The sequence below is a fragment of the Homo sapiens genome, chromosome 8 (assembly GCF_000001405.40).
Source record: "Homo sapiens chromosome 8, GRCh38.p14 Primary Assembly".
NCBI lineage: Eukaryota > Metazoa > Chordata > Mammalia > Primates > Hominidae > Homo > Homo sapiens.
In genome coordinates this window covers 69,527,167-69,551,619 of record NC_000008.11, presented here as the reverse complement: position 1 = coordinate 69,551,619, position 24,453 = coordinate 69,527,167, and the positions used below count along the sequence as shown (strand labels likewise).

At 40.2% G+C, this 24,453-nt stretch overlaps 1 protein-coding gene across 32 annotated transcripts in view, besides 1 other annotated feature; it reads right to left on the bottom strand.

Moving 5' to 3' along the window:
- The window catches only part of SULF1 (sulfatase 1), a 194,132-nt gene that overhangs the window by 109,293 nt on the left and 60,386 nt on the right, over window positions 1-24,453 (bottom strand). The gene's annotated exons all lie outside the window — the stretch shown is intronic.
- Window positions 12,168-12,669: an enhancer, noted in NCBI's record as "NANOG hESC enhancer chr8:70451186-70451687 (GRCh37/hg19 assembly coordinates)". NCBI's record gives its function as "activates a minimal SCP1, AML or CMV promoter by ChIP-STARR-seq in primed H9 embryonic stem cells {active_cell/tissue: H9 hESC(primed)}" and the evidence as "EXISTENCE:reporter gene assay evidence [ECO:0000049][PMID:30033119]".

Here is a 24,453-nt window from a genome sequence, read left to right as displayed (position 1 = left end):
GATAGGATTATTTTCTATCTACAAAATAATCGCCAATTATTTTGTAGCTGACAGGACTGTTTACGATCACCCTTCCCAGAGTTGCCAAGAAGGCAAACATGCCAACATACAGTCTATCCTAGGCATCAACAACTGAAGGAGTTTTCCATGGGAGAGCCTTCACCTCCTTCAACAAGTATCCAGAAGTGTTCTTTTGAGTGGCTTTCAAATGACCAGCTAACATCTCTTTCTACGTACTCTCTTTCCATGTCTGAAGGAGTAAGGTTGCTCAAATTCTTGACATATGTGAAGTAACGGACTCTGACAGGGGCCAGAGCAATGCTGGAGTTTGTTATGTTCATTAAACAACTGCTAAGCTTAAAGATAGGTTCAACACTCCCAGGCTGAAATTTCCATCTTAAGGTAAATTATCACCAGAGATTAAGGAGGCAGAGTGAGTTACTTGGCTTTTGTTTTCATAAAGCCCTGACTCAGTTTACCAATTCTGTTCAGCCGTATCTGCCAATCGCCCCCTGTGGGCCTTTCATCACCTATAGCCTCCTCTTTGAGACAGTGGCAGGTGAATATAGTTGCAGTAGGAAACAAACTTCGAATCGATTAAACAATATGATCCAAAAAATGTATCAAACCACCATGATAGTAAAGACACCATGACATTAGGTGCCTCTGGGAATGCTGAGCTGAATCCTTCATCCCACACTGTGGAAGAGTAGGGAAAGGGATGCGGCCACACAAAGTGAGCTGGAAAAGTGGGGCATGAATCATGGGGACCAGGTGCAGTGGGCTGAAATTGGGCCAAGGTCATGTTTGCAACTTTCCAAATGACTTTATCTACCTCAATTCTTATCACAGCAACCCCAAATTGGGACACGTGGTCTGATACCCAGTTGAGAAGGGAAAACAGTTTTGGAGCCCTAGTTTTCCAGTTGCCTGACTTCAGGGAGTAACTTCCAGCACCACGTGGACTAGTGCCGGGATCTGGGCACAACCGAAAGGGTTCATGTCTGGTCTTCTTTCCTTCTCTCTTTTTGCTCCCTTTTCCCCTCGCCCCCTCATTTTATCGCCAGCTCCTCCTTCATTCCTCAGATCCTACAGCCCCATTCTGCCCCGTGACTGCCAAAAGTCCCTCACCATTCCACCTTTTTCTTTTTGTTCTCCTGAGTTTCCAAATTCCCACAATTTCCAAGACGTGGATGACACTCAACTCTTAATCAAGAAGCAAGAATTTTTGCTAATATCCATTGATCATGTGCCAATATTAAACATTTCATAGTCATTAGTTCACTTTATCATAGCCACACACCAATGAAGTAGGAACTATTTTCACTCATTTTTTTTTCTTTTTAAATGAGAAAACTGAGATTCAGGGAAGTTTAGGGATCTGTTCAAGATTACACAGTAAGGGCAGAATGGGGATGACACCACACCAAAGTCTTCCTTCATAAGTGTTCTGTTTTTGTATTTTCTCTTGAAGTGCATTTACACTCTAAAAGATCTTGTATGCCTAGAGAATTTCAAACTGGAAAAATTAATGGGGAGAAATTTTGGGGGGCAAAAATGAGCTTCAGGTGAATCTGCCACTGTGCCTTACAGTATCTCCCCAGGAGAACAAAACAGGCCATCAGTATTGCAGCCACACACCATGTACAGCCCCCCTTTCACCTTCCAAACAGAAGGGGAACCCTCAGAACTCAGTAAAACAAAGAGTTGTTGCTGGGTGAGAGAGTGCACTGGCATGGTTAAAAATGAATATTCAAGACCACGAGTCACAGCTCCATGAATTCGAGGGTCTCCTCTATTTGTATTTAGCATTGTGGAGTCGCGAGACAACTTGCAATGATTAATTAATCCTTGGTGACAAGGCAGAAGGTGAAATAATTTGTGCATAGTCACGCAGTCAGTCATTCTCAGGCTCCGAGTAGTACTGGGGTGCTTGCTTTTCCAGAAACAGAAAGCTGTCCTTAACCCACACCTTAATGAGTGACATCATCTTCAATATCCCCAGTCCATGAAAATTCCATCCTCTGAGATCCCCCTCCCAACCCACCCCCAGCAGGACTTGTCTCCCTAACTTCAAGGAGATGAGGCCAGGCATCCTGGCTTGTGGGGTGCAGGAGGCACAATCTAGTTAACACACTGCATTTGGCTGCTTGTGGCTGTTTTCTCACCATCTCAAGTGCAATTTTAACTGAGGCTATTCACAGTAATACCTCAATTATCTATCACAGTAGGGGAAAAGAGGGTCTCTAGATACATGAATTTCCATGCTGCCTTACTTGAACTATTTAAAAGTTCCAACTTAAAACAAGCAAATAAAAATAAAATATTTTAAAGCACACGGAATTTGCACAAGGAAATCTTTAAAGCTCACAACAAAAAAAAGGGTTATCTCCTGCTGTTTCATGGAGGGGGCAGTGGCTCCATGCTGCTCCAAGCTGTGGCTCTTCTCACTCCAGGACTTGGGCTGAGGCATGGCATTGCCATGGCAGGAGCAGGATTGCTGATGGAAACTGCGAGTGCTGTTCAAAACATCTGCTTACACAGGGCATCTGGCACATCTGCTGACCTGCCATTGGCTAAAGCAAGCCATAGGGTCGAGCCCAGGGTGGGGTGGGTATAAGTTCCGCTCTCCTGGGAGCCCTGGGTGGGGATGTTGGTTCCCTTCACTTCTCTGGTTTGTGTGTGTGTATGTGTGTGGGGAGGTGGTGACAATCATTGGGGATTGTGGCAAAATCTAACATATGCACTTTCAAACATTAATTATACATTTCCTGGTCTTTAAAGAGTACTGCAGATGATGTCACTGTTTTGTTTTGTTTTGTTTTGTTTTGGCTCTGGGTCCTCAATATTAACATCCAAGTCTGGGCACGGTGGCTCATGCCTGTAATCCCAGCACTTTGGGAGGCCAAGGTGGGTGGATAACTTGAGGTCAGGAGTTTGAGACCAGCCTGGCCAACATGGTGAAACCCTGTCTCTACTAAAAATACAAAAAAAAAAAAAAAAAATCAGCGAGGCATGGTGGTGCATGCCTGTAATCCTAGCTACTCGGGAGGCTGAGGTGGGAGGATTGTTTGAACCCAGGAGGCAGAGGATGCAGTGAGCCGAGATCATGCCACTGCACACTCTAGCTTGAGCGACAGAGTGAGACTCCATCAAAAAAAAAAAAAAAAAGTTAACATCCAAAGTGCTCTAGGCTATGATTTTGACTTTTTCTAAGTGATACTGGGATGTGGAAAGCAGTTTGCCCAATACATAAATGACACCAGATCAACATTGTTTGAAATTCCTTATGGATGCTTCTCATAGTATTGTTTTTACCTCCTTTGCTATCAGTGATCATTTCTAGTTATCATTGGCATGTTTACACTTGTCTTCTAACGTGCTAGGGAGAGTATTCTCCCACCTTCTCCCTTCTATAATAATACATGAGGGAGACACCAGGAGGTGGCTTGTTAGACCTCATTAGATCCATGTTTAAAATAAGAATGAAGACGTGAGGGTCTCTCTCAAGTCCTTTGTGTATGGGCATGGTAGCAAATGCTTGTGTAGGGGGGCATCATCGGTTTATTAGAATTCTGCTTGCTTTTGCTTGTGTTTCCCTGTTTTTGCTGGCTGGTTGAGGGTGTTAGATAAATGAACTTAGAGAAGATTGAGCTGGATTAAGTTCCAAGCACTCCTGCTTTGCCATTTTCCATATTTAACAGATTTTTTTCCAGATATTTGACTAAGCATTAACACTACCTGCAATTTGTTCAATTCCATTTATTCTAACTTCGAGAAACATTTTGATTCAGCAACCCTTTGTTGAGCACCTGTATAAGGCACTTCATCAGGCACTAGTGAGATAATGAGAAAAGAGTCCTGCCTTTGAATGGAAAGTCATATGCTATGCTACGTACAATACACTTTCAAAATGTGTTGGCAACTCCCTTCACTCTAAAGCTAGAGCAGACGGCACACTTTGAAAGGCCCCAGGGCTTCCTGGGGTGTGTGTGATACTCTCTGTGAGTTGATATTACCCTGAACAACACAGTGGTGTGCAGCGCTCATGTTTTTCAAATGAAAACAAACCCCACAGAGCCATTTTCGCCAGTCAAGGTAGATGAAAGTCAAACGTTTCCAACTTGGTTAGTGCACAACTATTTCCTAACTAGCATTTTCCTCTAACACATATTTAGTTATCTTCTGAAAGCCTGACCTTACATTGATAATAATTGAACTGTGAACCAGATTTTTCCTATGCTTAGGTGGTTTCTTATATCTCAAATCCCAGGGGAAGATATTTGCTCTTTCATGGATAAAATGATTCCTTCTGTGTTCACAAGGCATCACAGTTCAGGAAAATATTTTGGTATAAATCATCAAATTTGCTTTTCACAACAACTTACATGGGAAATTAGAGCAGGTGTTATTAGTCCTCCCCCACCCCACCCCACCTCCTCCTGCCACAGTAGCTTGAGAAAGCATAACCTGAAATTATACTCAGGTCTTCTGACTCCAAGGCTGGTAGCTATTTTCCATGATAAATCAATTATTTTCCATTTTTATCTTGTTGTTTTATAATTGTCAACTTGATCATTCATGGATATAGATGGCAAAAATATATAAGCTAATATAATGTACAGACAAGCAAAGGAAAGCTGTGTCTGCACTGGTTTCAAACCTTTTCATTGCTACTTTTCACAAAACTCACACAACTAGAATATTGGTTTCAGGTTTACTTATTCTTTCTGCACAAACCCACCAACCAGTAAAAATACAAAGAGGTAATGACTTCCCGAGTAATGAGAATATAGTGAGTTAAAGTGTTAATGCTGCTTCCTAATAATTTTAGCAACATTATGATGTTGCTCAGAGTACTCTTAATAGACTCTTATGTTTTAAAAGAGTATGTGAAGAACAAGATTTTGGTAACAATATGTCTACAAAATAGCTCAGAGTAAATCACTCAAGGATTAATAATTTAAGGAAAGCCTTGAAGATACGTTGATTTTAACATTTTAAAGTCTTTTTACAAAAACAGATTAGGAAGTTAGATTGATTATACTACTGAAAATGCATTTGTGCTTGACATGAAACGCAAAATTTTAAATAGAAAAGGACTGCTTTATGGGAATTTAGCATCTTTCCTGTGGACAGCAGCTGGAAAGCTTGTAATTTTCTAGGTAGGACTCACGGGGAGAGGGCAGCAGAATGTGCTGCATTCCTGGAAATTCACCTCAGCTTGAATCATAGCTTTGCCTGACCACGGGGATAAATGTAGAGGACAAAATAGTTTTCCATACAATAATGATAAGGCACAACTTTATTTTGTCTGATAGCAGCAGTCTATTTTCTCCATACTGTGAACTCATCTCATTTCTGTTACCATTTCTTGAAAACAATTACATTTTCATTTTTTTGCTGTTGTAGAGTCCTAAATGATGTGATGCAAATTGCTAATTGCCTACCTCATCATTCATTGTCTTCTTTATTTAGAACAAGATCCCAATTTTATTTGCAGTGGCCAGCTATAGGTGATATTTCTTAGTTGCCCTAGCAACTCTATGTGCCCACAAGGTTGATTTCTTTCCAGTGACACGTAATGAAAGGATTGTGTGGGACAGTTCTATAAAACAGTGTGGAGGCTGGACATGGTGGCTCACGCCTGTAATCTCAGCACTTTGGGAGGCCGAGGTGGGCGGATCACCTGAGGTCAGGAGTTGGAGACCAGCCTGGCCAACATGATGAAACCCTGTCTCTACTAAAAAGACCAAACAAAACATAACAAAACAAAACAAAAGAAAACATCAGCTGGGCGTGGACTGCGGCAGGAGAATTGCTTGAACCTGGAAGGTGGAGGTTGCAGTGAGCCAAGATTGTGCCATTGCACTCCAGCCTGGGCGAAAAGAGCGAAACTCTGTCTCAAAGAAAAAACAAAAACAAACAAACCAAAAAACAAAACAAAACAAAACAAAAAAACCCAAAAAACCAAAGACAAAAGAAATAAAAGAGTGTGGGTGTCCATTTGTCACATGTCATGACTGGCGTTTCTGCAGCCATCTTGGACCACGAGAAGTTCTCACAGATGGAATGCTCCATCATGTAGTAAAGAGAGAAAAGAAGCTCAGGTCCCTAGTGGCTAATGTTCCAGTCTTGATGCCCTGACTCTGAATTTTCCTTACTTGAGAGAATAAAACCTTTAGTCAATAAGGCCCTATTTTGGTTTTTGCTATGTGTAGTCAAATACCCAATTATATCTCCTAACTAACCCTACTGTTTTTTCTCATTCTACAACCATTCTAGATTTAAAATGTTAGGACAACACGGCCTTTAACGTCAGACCAGAAGAGTTTGGTTTATATTTGAAATAGGACAAACAATAACATATGGTAAGTGCTATGAAATTGATAGAGGTAAGTGGGAACAAGAAATTCTCTTAACAGACATTATACTCCAAACTCAACTAATATTTTAGGCAGTTTAAGGTTTCTGGGTCAAATAAAGAATATTAGGAATCTCTCATGAGCCATAGAAATGAAAAAAAAAAAAAAAGAATTCCTTTATCTTTTTATAATTTTTTAGGATTCAAGTATATTTTATTATGCCATGAATTGCTCTTTAGCTTCTTTAAAAAACAACAACAATGAAAAGCCTAGAATCTTCACACATGCAATCTACCTGGACTCTACCTGAGTTTTCCTGAAAGAGGTTAAGTGGTAACCCCCAAATGATGGATTTTCATATTTTATATCCAAAAGAAGAATTTCAGTATTTTCAGAAAATATTGCTAAAAATATTCTATATTTTCTTACCTAAATGTAAAATTGTAAGTTGGATACAAAGATGATACTAAAAACAACTCCACAGGAATGTTGGCACATGTCTATTCATAAGAAAAACTTGATTATCTGTCTTCATCTGCAGGCATTTTCCCCATTTCCTTTCTCACTCATGCAAATAGGACTTTTATTTTCAGTTGAAAATAGGAATTCTGCCTTCACTGAATAGCAAGGATTTTTTAAAGAAACAAGGTTTCTATGCTTTAAAGGAATTTTAAAAAGTGATTTGTTGGGCCAGGTGTGGTGGCTCACCCCTATAATCCCAGCACTTTTGGAGGCTGAGGCAGGAGGATCAGGAGATCAGGAGTTTGAGACCAGCCTGACCAACATGGTGAAACTCCATCTCTACTAAAAATACAAAAATTAGCCAGCTGTGGTGGCGCATGCCTGTAATCCCAGCTACTCAGGAGGCTGAGGTAGGAGAATCGCCTGAACCCGGGAGGTAGAGGTTGTAGTGAGCCGAGATCGTGGCACTGTACTCCAACCTGGGTGACAGAACGAGACTCCATCTCAAAAAAAAACAAACAAAAAAACAAACAAAAAAAAACATTTGTTTTGTATAAATGTCTCAGTTATACCTCAAATTAGGATTCCAAAAACTCAAATTAATACATTACAACACACTATTCTTAGACTTGTGAAACTGATTTTATAGTAATTACTAAACTCTAAAGTTATTAATAAACTAGCAAAGTTTAGAAAGAGAAACATGAATGTGTAAATCGAAACACCTTAGCCAATTTGATTTATGCATAACTACCATGAAATGAATATAATTTGATAAACTTGATTAGTTTAGACTATGATCCTCAAAGTGTTTCCTGTCATGGAAAATACTGACATTGATTATATACAGCACACTGGGATAAGCAGATGAGGCCACTCACAGTCCAAGGGGCTCTGGCCATCCCAGAACTGCCCAGCCATCCTGAGGCTGAGCAGGTAGATATCTTGGTACACCTGTAGTTCACATCTTGACACATCTGTCATCCATTTGTGGCCCACTGCCAACACAGAGTGATGCTAGGATGCTACAGTCTAGAGAATCAATTGGGCTATAAGGATTCCTAAATGATGTGGCTATTTGTCAAAAAAAAGATGTAAAGGTATTGAACACAGATGATTAAAAAAATCAGGGGCTTCTAAAGACATGGAATCAACCCAAATGCCCATCAGTGATAGACTGGATAAAGGAAATGTGGTACATATACATTGTGGAATACTACGCAGCCATAAAAAAGAACAAGATCATGTCCTTTGCAGGGACATGGATGAAGCTGGAAACCATTATCCTCAGCAAACTAATGCAGGAACAGAAAACAAAACACTGCATGTTCTCACTTATAAGTGGGAGCTGAGCAATGAGAACACATGGATACAGGGAGGGAAACAGCACACACTAAGGTCTGTGAGGGGAGGGTGGGGGTTGGGGAGAGCATTAGGGAAAATAGCCAATGCATGCTGGGTTTAATGCCTCGGTGATGGATGATAGGTGCAGCAAACCACCATGGCACAGGTTTACCTATGTAACAAACCTGCATATCTTGCACGTGTACCCTGGAATTTAAAAGAAATAAACAACAACAACAACAACAAAAACAAAACCAGGGGCTTAATTTATATATTTGCAAGTATGGAATGTATACAGTGGTGTTTTTAGAGTAATTAAAAAAACAAATAGTCTGATTTGATCAATAAGAAGCATTAATTGGATGGTTGCTAAATCTCTATCTCACAGAACCACAGACTCATAGAAGTTTGTCATGCGTGTCATAGTAAGTCCCATGTTGTTTTTGCCTAGGTTAAGACTAGTTGGGGTGTCCTCTGGTCTCACAAGCGGGGCCATTTCATATTAATTTGCTTTACCCCCATTATTCTGTGTAATGTGGATGCCATCTATGACATTTGATTGAATTTCATGGGAAATTAATATATAGACCTGGAGACATTATCCTCTCTTCCCTGTTAATTTCACCACCTTCCTCTTCACTCCTGCTCCGTCATTTTCTATCACGCTTCTCCCAAACCCACACTTACATTCTGCTCATTTCTTTCCCTTTTCCTAAATTTCTGTTTTCAGGAATCACGAATGGACTTCAGAAGTCATCGTATTCAACTTATTTTAAAATTGAGGATGCTGAGGCCTCAAGTAATTGATAATATCATTTGTATCAAACTTACACTGTACAAAGGTTTCACATACTTGTTCTAATTTGGATCCTCCAGTAACTCTCGGCAGCACTGTTGGTATCCCCATTTCTCGGGGGTCAAAACAGATTCGGAGAGGTGAAATGGCTAAGCCCAAATCACTGTTTCTCAAAGTGGAGAAGGAAGCCATATCTCGTACCTTTCTGCTACACCACAGAACACTCCATCATGACCACACTGGGGACACACATTGCACTTGATGCAAAGCAGTTTCCTTCATGTTCTGTGAATATTTTCACTGAAGCCAGTTCTGTCTCGGGTTAAGGAATTTTCTCAGATGAGTAAGTTGCATATGTTGTGAAGAAATGTCTTCTGCTTCCATCATAACCACATATTTAAACACTGTGAAGCCCTCCCCAATATTCTTCAGCATATGCAGAACTCTCAAGGTCTTACAGTAGTGACCTCCAGAAGTTATGTCAATGAGGAAGGTATGGGAAGAAGAATGGAATATAACTGTATGTCACCAGCTCTCTGGGAAGAAGGTGTTAGGGGACATGCCTATCCTCCAGACCTTTAAATGAATGACAGCGCTGTAAAGAAAATGTATAATTCCAGGTCAGTAAGCCTCAAGTTTAAGTAAGGACACACCTTCCTCATATTCCTCTTCCACTCCCTCTCCAGTTCCTTCCCATCAATAGCTTGGATGAAGTGTTGAGAAAGAATGGAAGATCAAATATTTTCAGTGATCTACAAATTGGTGCCTTCACAGTTCTGAGCTTAAACCATTTCCATCTTTATTCCTTTTTTTAATTAAGAAGTTAAGTTTTGTAGTAACCACTCTAGAAAACAAACATCATTATTTACCCATATGTCATACACTAACAATACCCACATATCTTATTTAATGGCTTCCTGTCCCTAACAAATATTTGAAAACAAAGACATTCTTCCTGAGCTTTTCTACCTGTGAGCATTTTAGGGTTCTGTGTTTCTGTGGTACCCTATTTGAACAAGAAATCTGTACTTTCAAATACATGTTCAGAGATTACTGTGCTTGCTTTAAAAATGTCACTGTTAGAAGCAGACGTCTTTCGTTTCTACTTTCTCTTCCTTCTCTTTCACATATGATGCATTTGTTACAGTCCCTCATCCTCAAATCATATGCTAGGGTAAACCCAAGGGGATGAAATGTGAGAATGCATTTCACTATTTCCACTGCCTCGGTTTTTCTGAATCTTTTAGCTGTGCCACAGATGGGAGTTAGATGCTCTTTCATGTTCCTTCAGCGACACTGGCAGGCTTACCTGCCATCATACTTCTCAGGGGAAGTGCCATGTTGCCTTTGCCTAGGTTAAGACTAGTTGGGGTGTCCTCCGGTCTCACAAGCAGGGCCATTCCATATCAATTTGCTTTAACCTCATATTTCTGTGTAATGTGGATGCCATCTGTGACATCTGATTGAATTTAGTGGGAAATTAATATATAGGCCTGGAGACATTATCCTTTCTTCCCTGTAAATCCCACCACCTTCCTGCTCCACCATTCTCCATCATGCTTCTCCCAAACCCACACTTATGTTCTGCTTGTTTCTTTCCCTTTTCCTAAATTTCTGTTTTCAGGAATCTTTCAGCTGTGCCATATAGGAAAGGCTATAAGCTTTCAAGATTAGAAATTCTTATTGAAACCCCAGATTTTTGAGATCCAGGTTAATTTGGGTTAGTTTAGAGTGAAGTTAACAGAGGCATTAGTAAGTCCCTACTGACTTCATTTAATGAAATGCCTGCAGTCATCTAGAATTTGACAGGTCTTGTGAAAATTACAAAGAGTACATTTGCTCCAGGGACTTTTCATCGGCCTTCCATTTGTGGATTTTATGTGGCAAGAGGAAAAAGAAGGTATAACACATATGTATCTCAAGTGGAGCCCTAAAATATGATCCTACAGCAAGAACATCCACTCCTGACCATGGTCACCAATGCACAGTGCTAGTTACAGAAACCCGGGCAAGAAGGCAGGAAACGCTGTCACCAAGGCAGAAACAGCTTGTCTCTGTCCTGGCAGGGAGATGGCTCCTCACCAAAAGAACTGGCCTTGCTACAGGGAAGGAGGGATGGATTTGGAAGGGAGTTCTGAATCTGAGTTTCTGCTCTCCCACTTACTAGCTGTGTGACTTTGAGAAGTAGATGTCCTCTGTGAAACATAATTTCTCGTCCATAAAATATAATAGCCCTGCCTGTCTTTCAGCATTGTAATTATACCAAATGACTTACAATGAGTGAAACATTTTATAAATGCAAAAGTGCCTTACAAATATTAGATACTCTAGTATTTTGTTCTCTATTTGTAGAAAATAATCCGTGTCATTGTGTTAGAAAGAAAAGTGACTTAGGGTCTTATTAGTGTCTTTATCTCATTCAGTGGCACAACCATCGTTTTATGAATAGAGAGATGAATCTGGTGGCCATATGTATCCTCTCTTTCCATTTATCCCAGTACTTTCTCCACTCATGAGATCTGATTAATCCCCTATCCTGCTGATTTTATCATCAAAATACTTCTCGATTCTGTCTCCTTTTCTCCATTGCTTTCATCACTACCACAGTTCATGCCTTTATAATTACTTTTCCAGATCACTGTAATGGCTTCTAATGGTCTTTTTGCCTTCTGTCTGTTAATCCTGAAATTACCCTTAAATTCACCCAGGTACCAGACCAATCTTCTTAGATGCTGGCCTAACCATGTCTTTTCCCTGTTCCCCACAACAGCCCTGTTATTAAAAACACCTGTGGGCTCATGAACCTGCAGCTGTCTGCCCAACCAACTCCACTTCCACCAAAATGGTTACACCATTTTTATACCCTAAGAAAGTTCAGACCTCAGTGAAGCCTCCCTTCAACTCCCACTGCCATGAACACACTTACTTCTCTTCCGTAGAAATCGTAGAAATTCCCTGTCCCTCCCCGAGACTCGAGGAATGCCCTGCGCATATCGGACAGTTATTTTCCCTCTAGAGGCCACCTGGAATTTGGTACATCATAGGGGCTTAGTCATTGACTTTGGAATAGAAGAATGGATGTCTAGATGCTAATGTTCTCTTCTATGGGTATTTCTTCAACTCAAATGTAAAATATTTAATAAAATGAACTGGCTACCTCATCCCTTGGTGTTTGCAGTCATATCTACATATCTAGTTAGCAATTGCCAAGCGCAAGATCTTTTCATATTTGCACATCATAGTATAATCTGAGAAATATTAGGACATCTAAATGTCTTTTTCAAATAACATGAGATCTTTCATCTTTAAAAGACTTTCCTTTTTCACAGAGCCCTGGTTTCTCAAAAAGATCATTTTTATTCGGTAGACTAAAAAAAAGTAAAAAGTTGTGGAAGTCCAACTTTATTCCCAATCAGTCTAAAAGCCATTTCTCAGCTTTTAAGTTGTTCTTTCCAAGAACAATGGCTAAGGTATTTCCACTCAGAGGCAGCCCCCTCAGCCTATCAGCAGGTCGAATGACAAAGGCGAGTGTCTGAGCAGTGGGAAGAATTCACTGGCAGATGGACCTCTGCTGTCCTTTCAAAGGCAGCCCTGGACACTAGACGGGATCCAGCTACAGGGTTCAATCCTGGCATATATCACTTTGTTTTGAAAATGAGTTAGGCTGGGCACGGTAGCTTACGCCTGCAATCCCAGCACTTTGGGAGGCCGAAGCCGGCAGATCACAAGGTCAGCAGTTCGAGACCAGCTTGGCCAACATGGTGAAACCCCATCTCCACTAAAAATACAAAAATTAGCCAGGCATGGTGGCAGGCACCTGTAATCCCAGCTACTCGGGAGGCTGAGGTAGGAGAATTGCTTGAATCTGGGAGGAGGAGGTTGTAGTGAGCCAAGATTGCACCATTGCACTTCAGCCTGGGTGACAGAGGGAGACTCCGTCTCAAAAAAACAAAAAAAAAGAAAAAAGAAAATAAGCTAAACTTTGCAAAAAGAAAAAAGACTATAGTGTTGGAAGGTTTGACATGACAGGACTTTCTACTTTCTCTCATGGTCTAATTTTTGCCCTGCACTTTGTTTCCAAGCACCTCTCCATACCATTAGCAAGTACTCCCCCTCGCCTTCCAGACAGGTGCTTTCAGACCAACTCAACTTCTGGACTACCTGGGGCAGACTCCTGGAGGCTGGTATCTCCAGAAAGGGGCCCGGCCTTAGTGCATTACTGCACTTAACCTAGAAATCTCAAGCCAAATTGATAGTCACTGACTGCAGGCAAATGAACGCGGCTGCTGAAGGGTTTAATGTTCATGGCATTGCATAGAAGGACGGGATGAGAAGCATGTGTCTGAGCAAGAGCTTAATGGCTCAAAAAAAAAAAAAGGCAACAGAAATGTAAAAACCAATAAGCAAACAAAACAAAAAGCAGGCTTTTTCCTTGAAAAAAAAGTATACATATAAAAAAGTATAAAAGTATTTGACATCCTGGCTAACACGGTGAAACCCCGTCTCTACTAAAAGTACAAAAAATTAGCAGGGCGAGGTGGCTGGTGCCTGTAGTCCCAGCTACGCGGGAGGCTGAGGCAGGGGAATGGCGTGAACCCCGGGGGGCGGAGCCTGCAGTGAGCCGAGATGGCGCCACTGCACGACAGCCTGGGTGAAAGAGCGAGACTCCGTCTAAAAAAAAAAAAAAAGGATTTGAAATGTTATAAAACTTGAGAAAATTACTTTTTTTTCAATTTTCTATTCTATTTTTATTTTTCTGTTTTCTCTTTTTCTTCTGTTTCAGTTCCAGACACACAGTTAAAAGGGCCCTGAAAAGACAGTCTCTGAGGAATTTGAAAATGAGTGAAGAAAGCGAGAAGTTGAAAGTCAAAAGTTGCCGTCATCCTGTATTGTGCAAAGCACTGCATGTCACACACTCTCATTCCAAACGTGCAGATATTAGCCTCAGTGTCCCCTGACATATGGCAGGATAGTAACTGTTTCTGCAGGCTGTTTCCCCCTTTGTGGTAAAAATGGTAAACACCTGAACTTTAGTGTCAGAAGATGGCTTAGTCATGAGGACGAATCCCCTTGAATGATTCACATTCTTGGGGTACCCCTAAGATGCCCACACTCATGCTGAGGGTAGAATTAAGAATTTTTATATCTATTTAATATGGTATACTCTTGGAAACCAAAAGCTGTTCAAAAAAAATCTCTTAACAGAGTCATGCATATTTAATGACAGTTTCTGGCAATCGAACTCTATTTCATAGAAGACAAGGTTGAGGTTATTAAAAAGAAATGTATGAAACTATTCTTAAAGTGCCTGATACCTTGGGGATGAGAAGCACCTTTCAGCCAGGGTCCTGGCATTCATTCAACAAACCTCTAAGAGGCCCTACTGTGTACCAGATGCTGTCAGGGATGCCCAGAAATCCCTTTGCTAGCTAATCTCCTTCCACCAGCAGAGACAAATAGAGTGTTCTGAAAGCCCAGCTGGAGGGTTTCACTCTCTCCCCAGGGCACAGAGTCTCCTAATGCTGTGCAGTGAGTCAGAGGTGCTAATGATAGAAGCTTACGTTTGCTGGGCACAGAGTATAAGCCAGGAACCATGCATTAAGTGCCTACAAAACGGAGGAGGTAGGACTCATTCCCCCATTTTAGCTGAAGTCATCATAGTACAGAGGTTGAATAGCTTTTCCAAGGTTACAACTAGTAGGTAGGGGACTGGCATTTAACTCAGGCAGTCAAGCGCCTGGGTCCTTCTGCAGGACACCACCCTTCCTCCCTGGGAGGGCCATAAAGAGCAGGAACATGGCTTTCGATGATCTCACCAGACTTCCTGGCAGTTACCACTCCATGTCTTGCTTATGAGAGTGTGAGTTCGACACATTGGCCTAAAAAATAGCAGCTATGTCTACCACATTGCTCTAAGTGAGTAGAAATTAGTGAATCAACATACCAAGGATTCCTCGAAAAAGGAAAATATTCTTAGGTGTCTGTGCTTCGGGGCTCCATCCTTAGTAATTTTATGTTTGTTAAGTGATTATTTTAAAATGCAGCCCACTTTAGCCTGGGAAATGTGGCTAATAGATTACACTCTGACCATCCCTCCAACCAAATGTACCTAGAAGCAGAATGTCTTGCCAATCAAAGATGTTAATAAACACAAACAACAGGCTGCAAAGAAAGCCCAAATGTCTTCTGATATATAGTAGTAGTGGTAAGATATCAGCTATTTTTGATTTAACTTGCTAATGATACTCAGGATCATGGAGTTTACACAAAATATAAACAAAATTAATTTCTGTGGCATGTTTGATGAAAGGGAACAACATTTACTTTCTGATCCTTTACACATTGTTTGAATAAGAACTAGACAAGCCCTTCTTAGGAGCTGCCAGGTGAATTTACACATGTAAGCAGGTACACAAGCCTTCACTGACACCAAACAGACAATGGGTGGTATTGTTAACCAGCAATACCATGAAGACTAGTGAAATGATCTGCGCAAAACACCTGAGCGTAAATACTATAAAGAGTACATGATCAAATTAAATTGATCGAAGTTTCTACTATCTAAGTGACATTCACCATGAAAAAGAGTGAGGTGCTGGTGATTGCTTGCAGGGATTTTATGGCTTTTTTTTTTTGAGTCGGAGTCTCGTATTTTTGCTGGGGCTGGAGTGCAATGGTACAATCTCGGCTCACTGCAACCTCTGCCTCCTGGGTTCAAACAATTCTCCTGCCTCAGTCTCCTGAGTAGCTGGGATTACAGGCCTGGCTAATTTTTTTGTATTTTCAGTAGAGATGGGATTTCACTATGTTGGACAGGCTGGTCTCAAACTCCTGACCTGGTGATCTGCCCGCCTCGGCTTCCCAAAGTGCTGGGATTACAGGCGTGAACCATCTCACCCGGCCTCTTATGGCTTTGCTTTGGATGAGGGTGGTTGTGTTGTTCCTTGGTAGGTGGCATACATTTTCTAATACCTGCTCCCCACTGGCTCTCCTTAGTTGGCACCCTCATCTTATCTAAGATTTTATATTAATCCAGAAAAAAGGTTAGAGCTTTACTCCTTACATCCTAACGCTAGAGGCCCTATTTGCCTTTTTCCTTTCCAGGAGCTGCACCCTATTCTTGTAACTGTCCCTGATTTTGTTTTGAGGAAATAATTTTTCCTCTTTGCTATCCCTTGTACTTCCAGGAATAGTTGCACCTCCTCCTCTCTCCCATAGAGCACACTGTCTGGAGTGCACCTCTCTTCTGTTCCCTTCAGCAAGAGTGATTGTTTTAAAGGCTGATCAATGCCCAACGCCAGGTCACTCAGGGCCAGTGAGACTCACTTCAGAGGTTTTGTTGTTTGAGCAGTGGAGGAAGTCAGTGCTCTGTTGTCTATTGACTTCAGGCTGTGAAGATGTGAAGCTGGAGCTGGAGCAGCCACATTGTAAACACAAGGGCCTAAACATGCCTAAATATGGAGCTCTCCACAGCAGGCAAAGCCAAGCGAGATAGGGAAGGAAACAGAACAGGTGACCTTAATGGAGCTCCAGTACAGCCCCAACTGCAGCATGCTTTCCTTATTCTCTGGAATTATCATTTGTGAGCCCAGACATTGTCTTGTTGCTTGCCTAGGACAGTTTAGGCTGAAGTTTCTATTTCAACCCAAAGCATTCTAATTGATATATCATGCAAAATTCTAATTTTAAAAACAACTTGCTTGTTTTTAAACAACAATCCTTATAAAGTCTTATATTATTTCATATCAAAACAGTACTCTCTTAGCTGAATTTTTTTTTTTTAAATTTCCTTTAAGTATTAATTCATTATGAATGATGACGTCTATGTTTAGGGCAGTTCTTATAAAATATGTATGACGTCAGTTGTATCAATGTAACACATAAATTTCATAAGCTCATAAATTTGTAAGCTTGCCAACTTCTCAAATTGCCTTCAAATACTGCTATCTTGTCTCAAAAAAAGTGGTGGAATAAAGTATTATAATTAAGTCGTTTGTCAAGGAAATGAAGTCTGTGATACATGAAAGATCATGCTTACTTCACCAATGTTAAGTGTGAATTGGTAATAAAACATGTAAGTAGAAGAAATGTAATATTCCTACCTTCCTGGAAGGAATACTTGTTCTTATATATTCTAAAACTTCAGTGATTGGTGATGTTTCTAAAAATGTAGCCTAATTCTTCAGAGTTGGCCTCTTCAAATGCACTATAAGATTCTTGTTTCTTATGATATATAAATAATTCTCTTAAAGACGGAGTTAATACTAACTCACCCAGAAAAATATCCACCATGCACAATGTAGTGATCTTAATGAAAGAATTTCTTAAAGAACTATTTGACTATAAAGATGTAATATTATATTAAAGACATTTAAACAAATTATTTGTAAATGCTTTCTGAATTTTTCAATTTTCATCCAATTCTTGGAGAATGCCTATTTAATTAGTAGCTACTTCCTGCAAGTATTTTCGGTAAGCAAACTTCAGGGTTCAGTAATGCAGAATGTACAGTACTCAGCCCCCAGGATGAACTTCCATTATGTTACTCTCAATGAAGTCATTAGCAAAATATTTTCCCAAACCATTGACAGCTTCCTTCTCATTCCCATTCCATATCATGTTTTTTGTCATTATCATAACTGCTAAGAATAAAACTCCCTTAAGCCAGGAAAAATAGTTGACTTTAGCACTGAACATTGCAAATTTTTTTTCTAGACTATTATTTGCCTTTTAACTTTGTTTAAGGGATTTTAGGCTATTCTCTACAAGTCTTTGATTTTAATATTACAATAAAGACAGATCGGAGGTAAAAAAGTAACCACATTTTGATTCCTCAGAGTTCTAGAACCAGAAATACCATTTGATCCAACAATCCCATTACGGGGTATATACCCAAAGGAATATAAATCATTCTATCTACAATAGATACATACACGAGTATGTTTATTGCAGCACTATTTACAATAGCAAAAACATGGAATCGACCCAAATGCCCATCAATGATAGACTGGATAAAGAAAATATGGTACATATACACCATGGAATACTATGCAGCCATAAAACGGAATGAGATCACGTCCTTTGCAGGGACACGGATGGAGCTGGAAGCCATTATCCTCAGCAAACTAATGCAGGAACAGAAAACCAAATACCACATGTTCTCACTTATAAGTGGGAGCTGAACAATGAGAACACGTGGACACAGGAAGGGGAACAACACACACCAGGGCCCACTGGGGGAGGGGGACGGAGGGAGGGAGAACATCAGGATAAATAGCTAATGCATTGCAGGGCTTAATACCTAAGTTATTGAGGATAGGTGCAGTAAACCACCATGGCACATGTGTACCTGTGTAACAAACCTGCACGTCCTGCACATGTACCCTGGAACTTAAAATAAAATATAAAAAACTCACATTCTTTCCAACTTGTTTGCTTTTGGAACAAATGGTCCAAGGGCCTTCAGAGTTAGGTTTTACCATTTTCCACTGCCCAACACAACCCTGTCCTTGCTGGGATAATAGGTATCGGTAAGCTGGATTTTAAACAGCTTTTGCACAAAAGTGAGCATACAGAAAACTATTAGAGGCAATAAGAGCCAAGCAAGTGTTCTTGATCATGTGGCCATACTTGGTTTTCATTTGTTTGTCTTGATATTAGTACATCCAGATTAGTCAATTTGTACATCTAAATCTTATTTGTATCCAAATTGGTTCTAATAATTTTACTGTATGATTTCACTTATATGAGATACCTAGAATAGTCAAATTCATAGGAAAGAAAGTAAAATTGGTGGTTGCCAGGGACTCCAGGAGGGAGAGAAGGATGGGAGGGAAAGGGCGGAGTTGCTGTTCAATGAATGTGGAGTTCCAGTTTTGCAAGATAAAAGAGTTCTAGAGATCTATTGCACAATCATAAACCTAATAAAGTTCAAGATGGTAAAAACAACAACAAAAAACAAACTGATTCTAATTAGTAACAAATCTATTATATGTATAGGTCAAACAGGTAGTTGTCCACTTTCCTCTTACATTCTTTTTCATTCTCTTGCTGTACAATGAATTTAAAGATCTTGCAATGCATCCTCTTCTTTCAGAGGCTTGTGAAAACACTAGCTCCTTTCTGTGTTTGAGCAGACCTTTCTAACAGTTATTAAAACCAGAAAAGTATTTGGTGGTGTTGTGGGAATGAAAAGGGGGGTTAGTGACCTGTTTCTCACAATGCTAATGGATCTATTACATTCATATTGTTGTCCAGTTCCTTTAAAAAAAAAAGAATTGAAGGGTTCTCTCCTCAAATATTGAAAATTCTTTCGAGGTTCAATGAAGTTTAAAATGTTCTCATGTGCCTATTTTGGCTTGAAACAATCATTTTAAGACATAGAATGACTTGTTTCCTTACAAGACCATCAGGCAAAAAAGGATTTTTAAATGAAAAAGATAAAGTTCGAGGATTTATGAGTGACTTGAACAATTTTGAAATTTAAATGGGTATGCTACTTTATTTAACGAAGAATAGCCATGAAGGTTTGTTTCTCAACGTTCTTGAATAAAGACACAGTGGCTTCATGAATAACTCTTGCTTCCTAACCCCTCACTTGTTCCTCTTGCAGTCTTAGCAAAGCTAGAAATTATCCCATCAAAGGTCATCAGCTGGCAACTGAGCCTCAGGGCTTCTGCTGAAGAGCCATGGCTGCTGTTAAGGTTGTGAATTCCTAAGACTGACAGCAATGCAGTTTCGCCCTTAGAGGGGTGGCCGCGTATGTAATCAGCTTAGAGCCGCCTCTCTTTCCCGTGTTGATACTGAGCTGTGGAGCCACTACAAGCAGAAACAAAGAGGAAAAGGTCGTCTTGGAAATTCCAGAGAAAGACAAAGAAGCAGCATCGATTATAATGTGCTTACATTTAAAAAACATTTCCAGAATAAAAAAATACTTCTGTGGTGAAATTAAGTGAAGACACAGGTTATCCGCAGAGACTTCTCTCAGTCATAATAAATCTGACTTTTCAGCTTCCACATTAATTACTGTCATCACAACTCTAAAGCAGACAAATGTATTGACTGGTTAAGAAAGACTTTTTGCAGAAGCACAATATATACATGTTTGGAGGGAAATAACATGATATTAAAAAATTCGAAATGATTTATTTTTTTCTCCACCAGCAGAAGAGAACACTTAGTGAGTTGAGGTGGAGGAGAGGTGGGTGGTGGCTTGGTTGAAAATCTGTCACAAGAACAAAAACTATCTTCAGAGCTCATTGTGGGCAGAGCATAGTACTCCACCCTATGGGTGGGGAAGGGGAAATTTAAAAGGGATACTGTTATTAAGGAGATAACAATGTATTTGAAAACTGTTCATTTACACATATACACATATATGCAAACATAAAGCTAAAAGAGTTTTTAAACCTCAGTGTTCCAAAGCAACAAGGGACAATGAGAGGAGACAGAGCACAGGCATGAGCTAGGCATGTTCACTGAGAAGTCAGTTCAGAGTGGTGTTTGGGCAGCTTAGTGGGTCAGAATACAGGCTCAGGCAGATCTGGATTTACATCCCAAATATGTCTCTTGATCCCCAACCATTCTTGGACAAATCACCCTCAGTTTTCTCTTTTGTAAAATGGGATAATCATCATGCCTCCCACCTCATGCCATCGTTTTGGAAATTAAAGGGTTGGCCCAGGTGTGAAAGTGCTAGCATTCTGTCTGGAGTACAGTAGGTCCTCAATAAGTACCTGTTTACCTCATTCCATTCTACCCCTTCTCAGCATCCACTTGTGCAGGACACCAACAGCTTCAATCCCTTTGGAAAGGACAGTTGTCTAACTTGACATGTTGGCTAACCAGATAGAAAGTGGTTACTTAGTTATAGGTCAATGCTAGTATTGAGGTTTAGTTAGATTTTCCTCTTTCTAAGACAGAAGGACCAGAGTGATGTCCATAAACAACTTATGACTCTTGGACTGAACTCTGGAAAGAGGTACAATTCATTCAAATAGTTCATCTGGTTACTACGGTAGAGGAAAAGCAATGAAATCCAGAGAGAACCTCTAAAACCCATTTTAGGCAGTGGTTTTGATGGTGATTTTATCGATGAGAGAAGTCAAAGCAGAACAGGCATAACCAAGTAACAAAAGCAAGTTTTAGTTTTCTGAGGACTTCAATGTTTTTATTTGTAATAAGGAGTGGTGACTATATTTAACTATCTCTAAAGTTCATTTCAGCAAAGAATCTCTACAATTAGCAGACTGAGCCCTCCTAATGGTACATTATGCCTAAGATTCCACATAGACAATGGCTCTATCCATCAGTAGGCATCTAAAAAATATTTTTCAGATAACTGAATGAATATGTAGGGTAGCCCTAGACATTACTTTTTCTTTTTGCTCAAAGAGCCTGATGTTTGACTATCCTGGTGAGCCTGACGTTTAGTGACAAATCCTACATTTGATGCAAGCAGTAGGGCAATAGAATGACCGGAGTTGAGAGTCCAGAAAGACTCCTCAAGCGCTAGCTCTCCTGGGAAGATGCAAGGGCAGATTGTCCACTGCAATTATAACTGAATGCATTTACTGCATTTATTTCATCTCTCTGTTGGTCTTGCCCTAAAGCAGAAAAATGAGACCGAGTCACCAAATAGGATCATTAATAAACTGACAGTAAGTGTGGTAGTCAGCCTCCAACACAGTCTCCAGTGACTCTCGCCTCCTGGTATCCAAACCTTTGTGCAGCTCCCTCCCACACTGAATATGGCTGACCTGGGTAACCAATGGGATTACAGAATGACAGAATGTGATTTCTGAGGCTAGATCCTAATAAACTTTGCAGCTTCTGCCTTGTTCTCTCAGATCACCTGCTCTCAGTTTCCATGCATGTGGTGAGGACACTCAAGCAGCCCCATGGAGAGGTCCACATGGCAAGGAATTGAGGCCTCCAATTAGCAGCCAGCACCAACCTGCCAGCCTTGTGAGTGAGCCATCTTGGGAGAGGATCCTCCTACTCTAGTAAGTCCCTTAGAACAATGTAGGGTCTGCTCTGTATCTTAGGCTGCAACCTCATAAAAGATTTTAAACTGGAACCATCCAGCCAAGCCGCTCCCACATTCCTGATTCACAGAAGCTGTGTAAGAGCATTGATGTTTATTATTAAGTCTCTTACATTTTGTTTTCTTAAAATGCAACAATAGATAATTAATACAATAAGTTTCTAAAAAAGAGCAATGTCATAAACAACTGAAGGTGCGATTCAGTTTCGTAGTTAGAGGTCGTAGTTAGAGCATCAACGTAGTGCTAACCGTTGATGATTCATAAGAATAGAGAGTAGAGGGGTTCTGAAATTTAGGAGCTACATCAGTGATAGTTCAAAGGAATTTCCTAATGGCTTTCTTAGAAGAACATCACCTCTTTTCCCTTTCATATATCCAAGCATTGTTTTGGCACCTAGCATAATGGTTTTACAATAAACACAGGCTTTGGGGTCTGACGGGAGCTCTGCCCCTTTGCTAGCTGTGACACCTGGCACAGGTTAAACTTTCCGGATCTCAGTTTCCTTATTAGTAAAGCTGGAGTAAGAGTATCAACCTCACAGACTTTTTGAGGTTTAAATAACTTTGTATATGTAATACACTTAGGAGAAGAGCTGGTACATAGAAAGTTCCTAATAAGCATTTCCTTTTTCATTACTAATTTATTTTCACAACCCAAACATTTTAACTCTGCTATAGTTCCTTCTTTTTCTATGATCCGTGAATTCATGTGTCTTTTATTTAGTCAACTAAAACATTTTCCAAATTAAATTTGAAACCTAAAACAGACAGGGAACTACTACCTGAAACAACAACAACAACAACAACAACAAACCCACTGTGGTTCCTCAGCTATCTTGCCTGCTTTCTTCCCTGCTTTGACCAACTGTGAATATGTCTCATCAGGACTAATGGCTTAAATGCCATGCTGTGCTTGTCTTATTTCATTCCCCAAGCTAAATGATGCCCTATCTCAGGACACACTGGTATGACCCTTTCTTCTAAGAGTTGTATGTCCAAAAGTTGGATTTATAAAAGCGAAATTTTAGATAACAAAATATTCCAGTTTTCTGGTCAGAGTTTACCAGTACATAATTAAAGAAAACCAAGTTTTGTAAGAGAAAATCAAGAGGTGTCTCGACTACAAAGCACAATACTAAGTCGACTAATCTTTTGAGAATTTGGATTTTTGCACTTTTTCCATATGAGAGAGATTGGAATCCACGTCTGTCTACAAGCTCTTCCAATCCCATTCCTATTTGGGTAGTGGTGGGAGAATTATTAACTCAAACCCATCCCTACAACTGTCCTATCTCACAGGAATTGCTGAGTTGGGGATTTGGTGTGGTTCAGAATATTAGCATATTTATACCCTCTACCGTTCTATTTGAATTCAGTGGTGGGGAAAATGGTAGAGAAGAACAGCAGGTGGTTTCATCAAAATCTCCCTGAAACTCTGAACTCCTCATTTTTTGAGGTCAAGAGGCAATGTGCCAAAGGTCCTGTGGGGGCAAAGGGCAAGGAGACTGAAAAGGATTAGAGGAAGATAGAGACTGTGCAGTTGGACATAAAAGAGTTCCTGGGAAAGAAAGAAACGGGCTGCATATAGCACATTTTTAACCTAAACTTTATCCTCTCCAAACTGGTCTTTTAGTTTGATGCATTATATTGGAGGAGGGAAGAGGACAATTTTTAGTCAAACTCTTCACAGATTCCCTCCTTCTCATTTCCTCCCTCCTTGTCTCTCTGCTCTCAGCCAGTGAAACACATAGGAATTTGGTTATTTAAACATCATTTTTCATCATGCATTTTCCCTGCAATTCTAAAGAAAAAGAAACACACACACACATACACACTTGCCCACACTAAATGGGTAGAAACCACACAATGAAAATCTCATTCATTTTTAAGCCTTTAAGTCTGTATGGATAAGGGTTGTTTATTTTTTGTTCACTCTATCTATCTGTCCTCTATATTTACTTAGGAACCTGTGCAGAAATACATCCTGTGGAGACACCTGCAATTCTGTTTTTCGCATAACTGGTATTTTAAGTAAACCAAAGCCCTGTGCTTGCTTAGTCCCTAAGCTGCCCAGGAATCCCCCGCTGACACCACCATCCTCTGTCTTTGAGCATCTGGAATGAAGTCTTTCGTCCTCTCTGCAGAGCCCTTTGTGCTTCCTGACCTCTAGTTCTTTCCTCTGGCTCTACTGGTCATTTACCTTGTCTTTCCGCTTGCCCCCAATGACATGGCTATTGTCAGGTTTTTGTATTATTTTGGTTTCTACTACAAGACTTTGTAGGGAGGAATCTGTCTGCTAGTGTTATTTTTTTCCTGTTATTTTCTCTTGACATCTTTTGTTTCTATGCGGTTTACAGATTGATAATATGGTTACGAACCGTTAAAATGAAGCTCTGAATCCAAGCTACTTTTGCACATGCAATTATCTGTCCTGAAGAGTC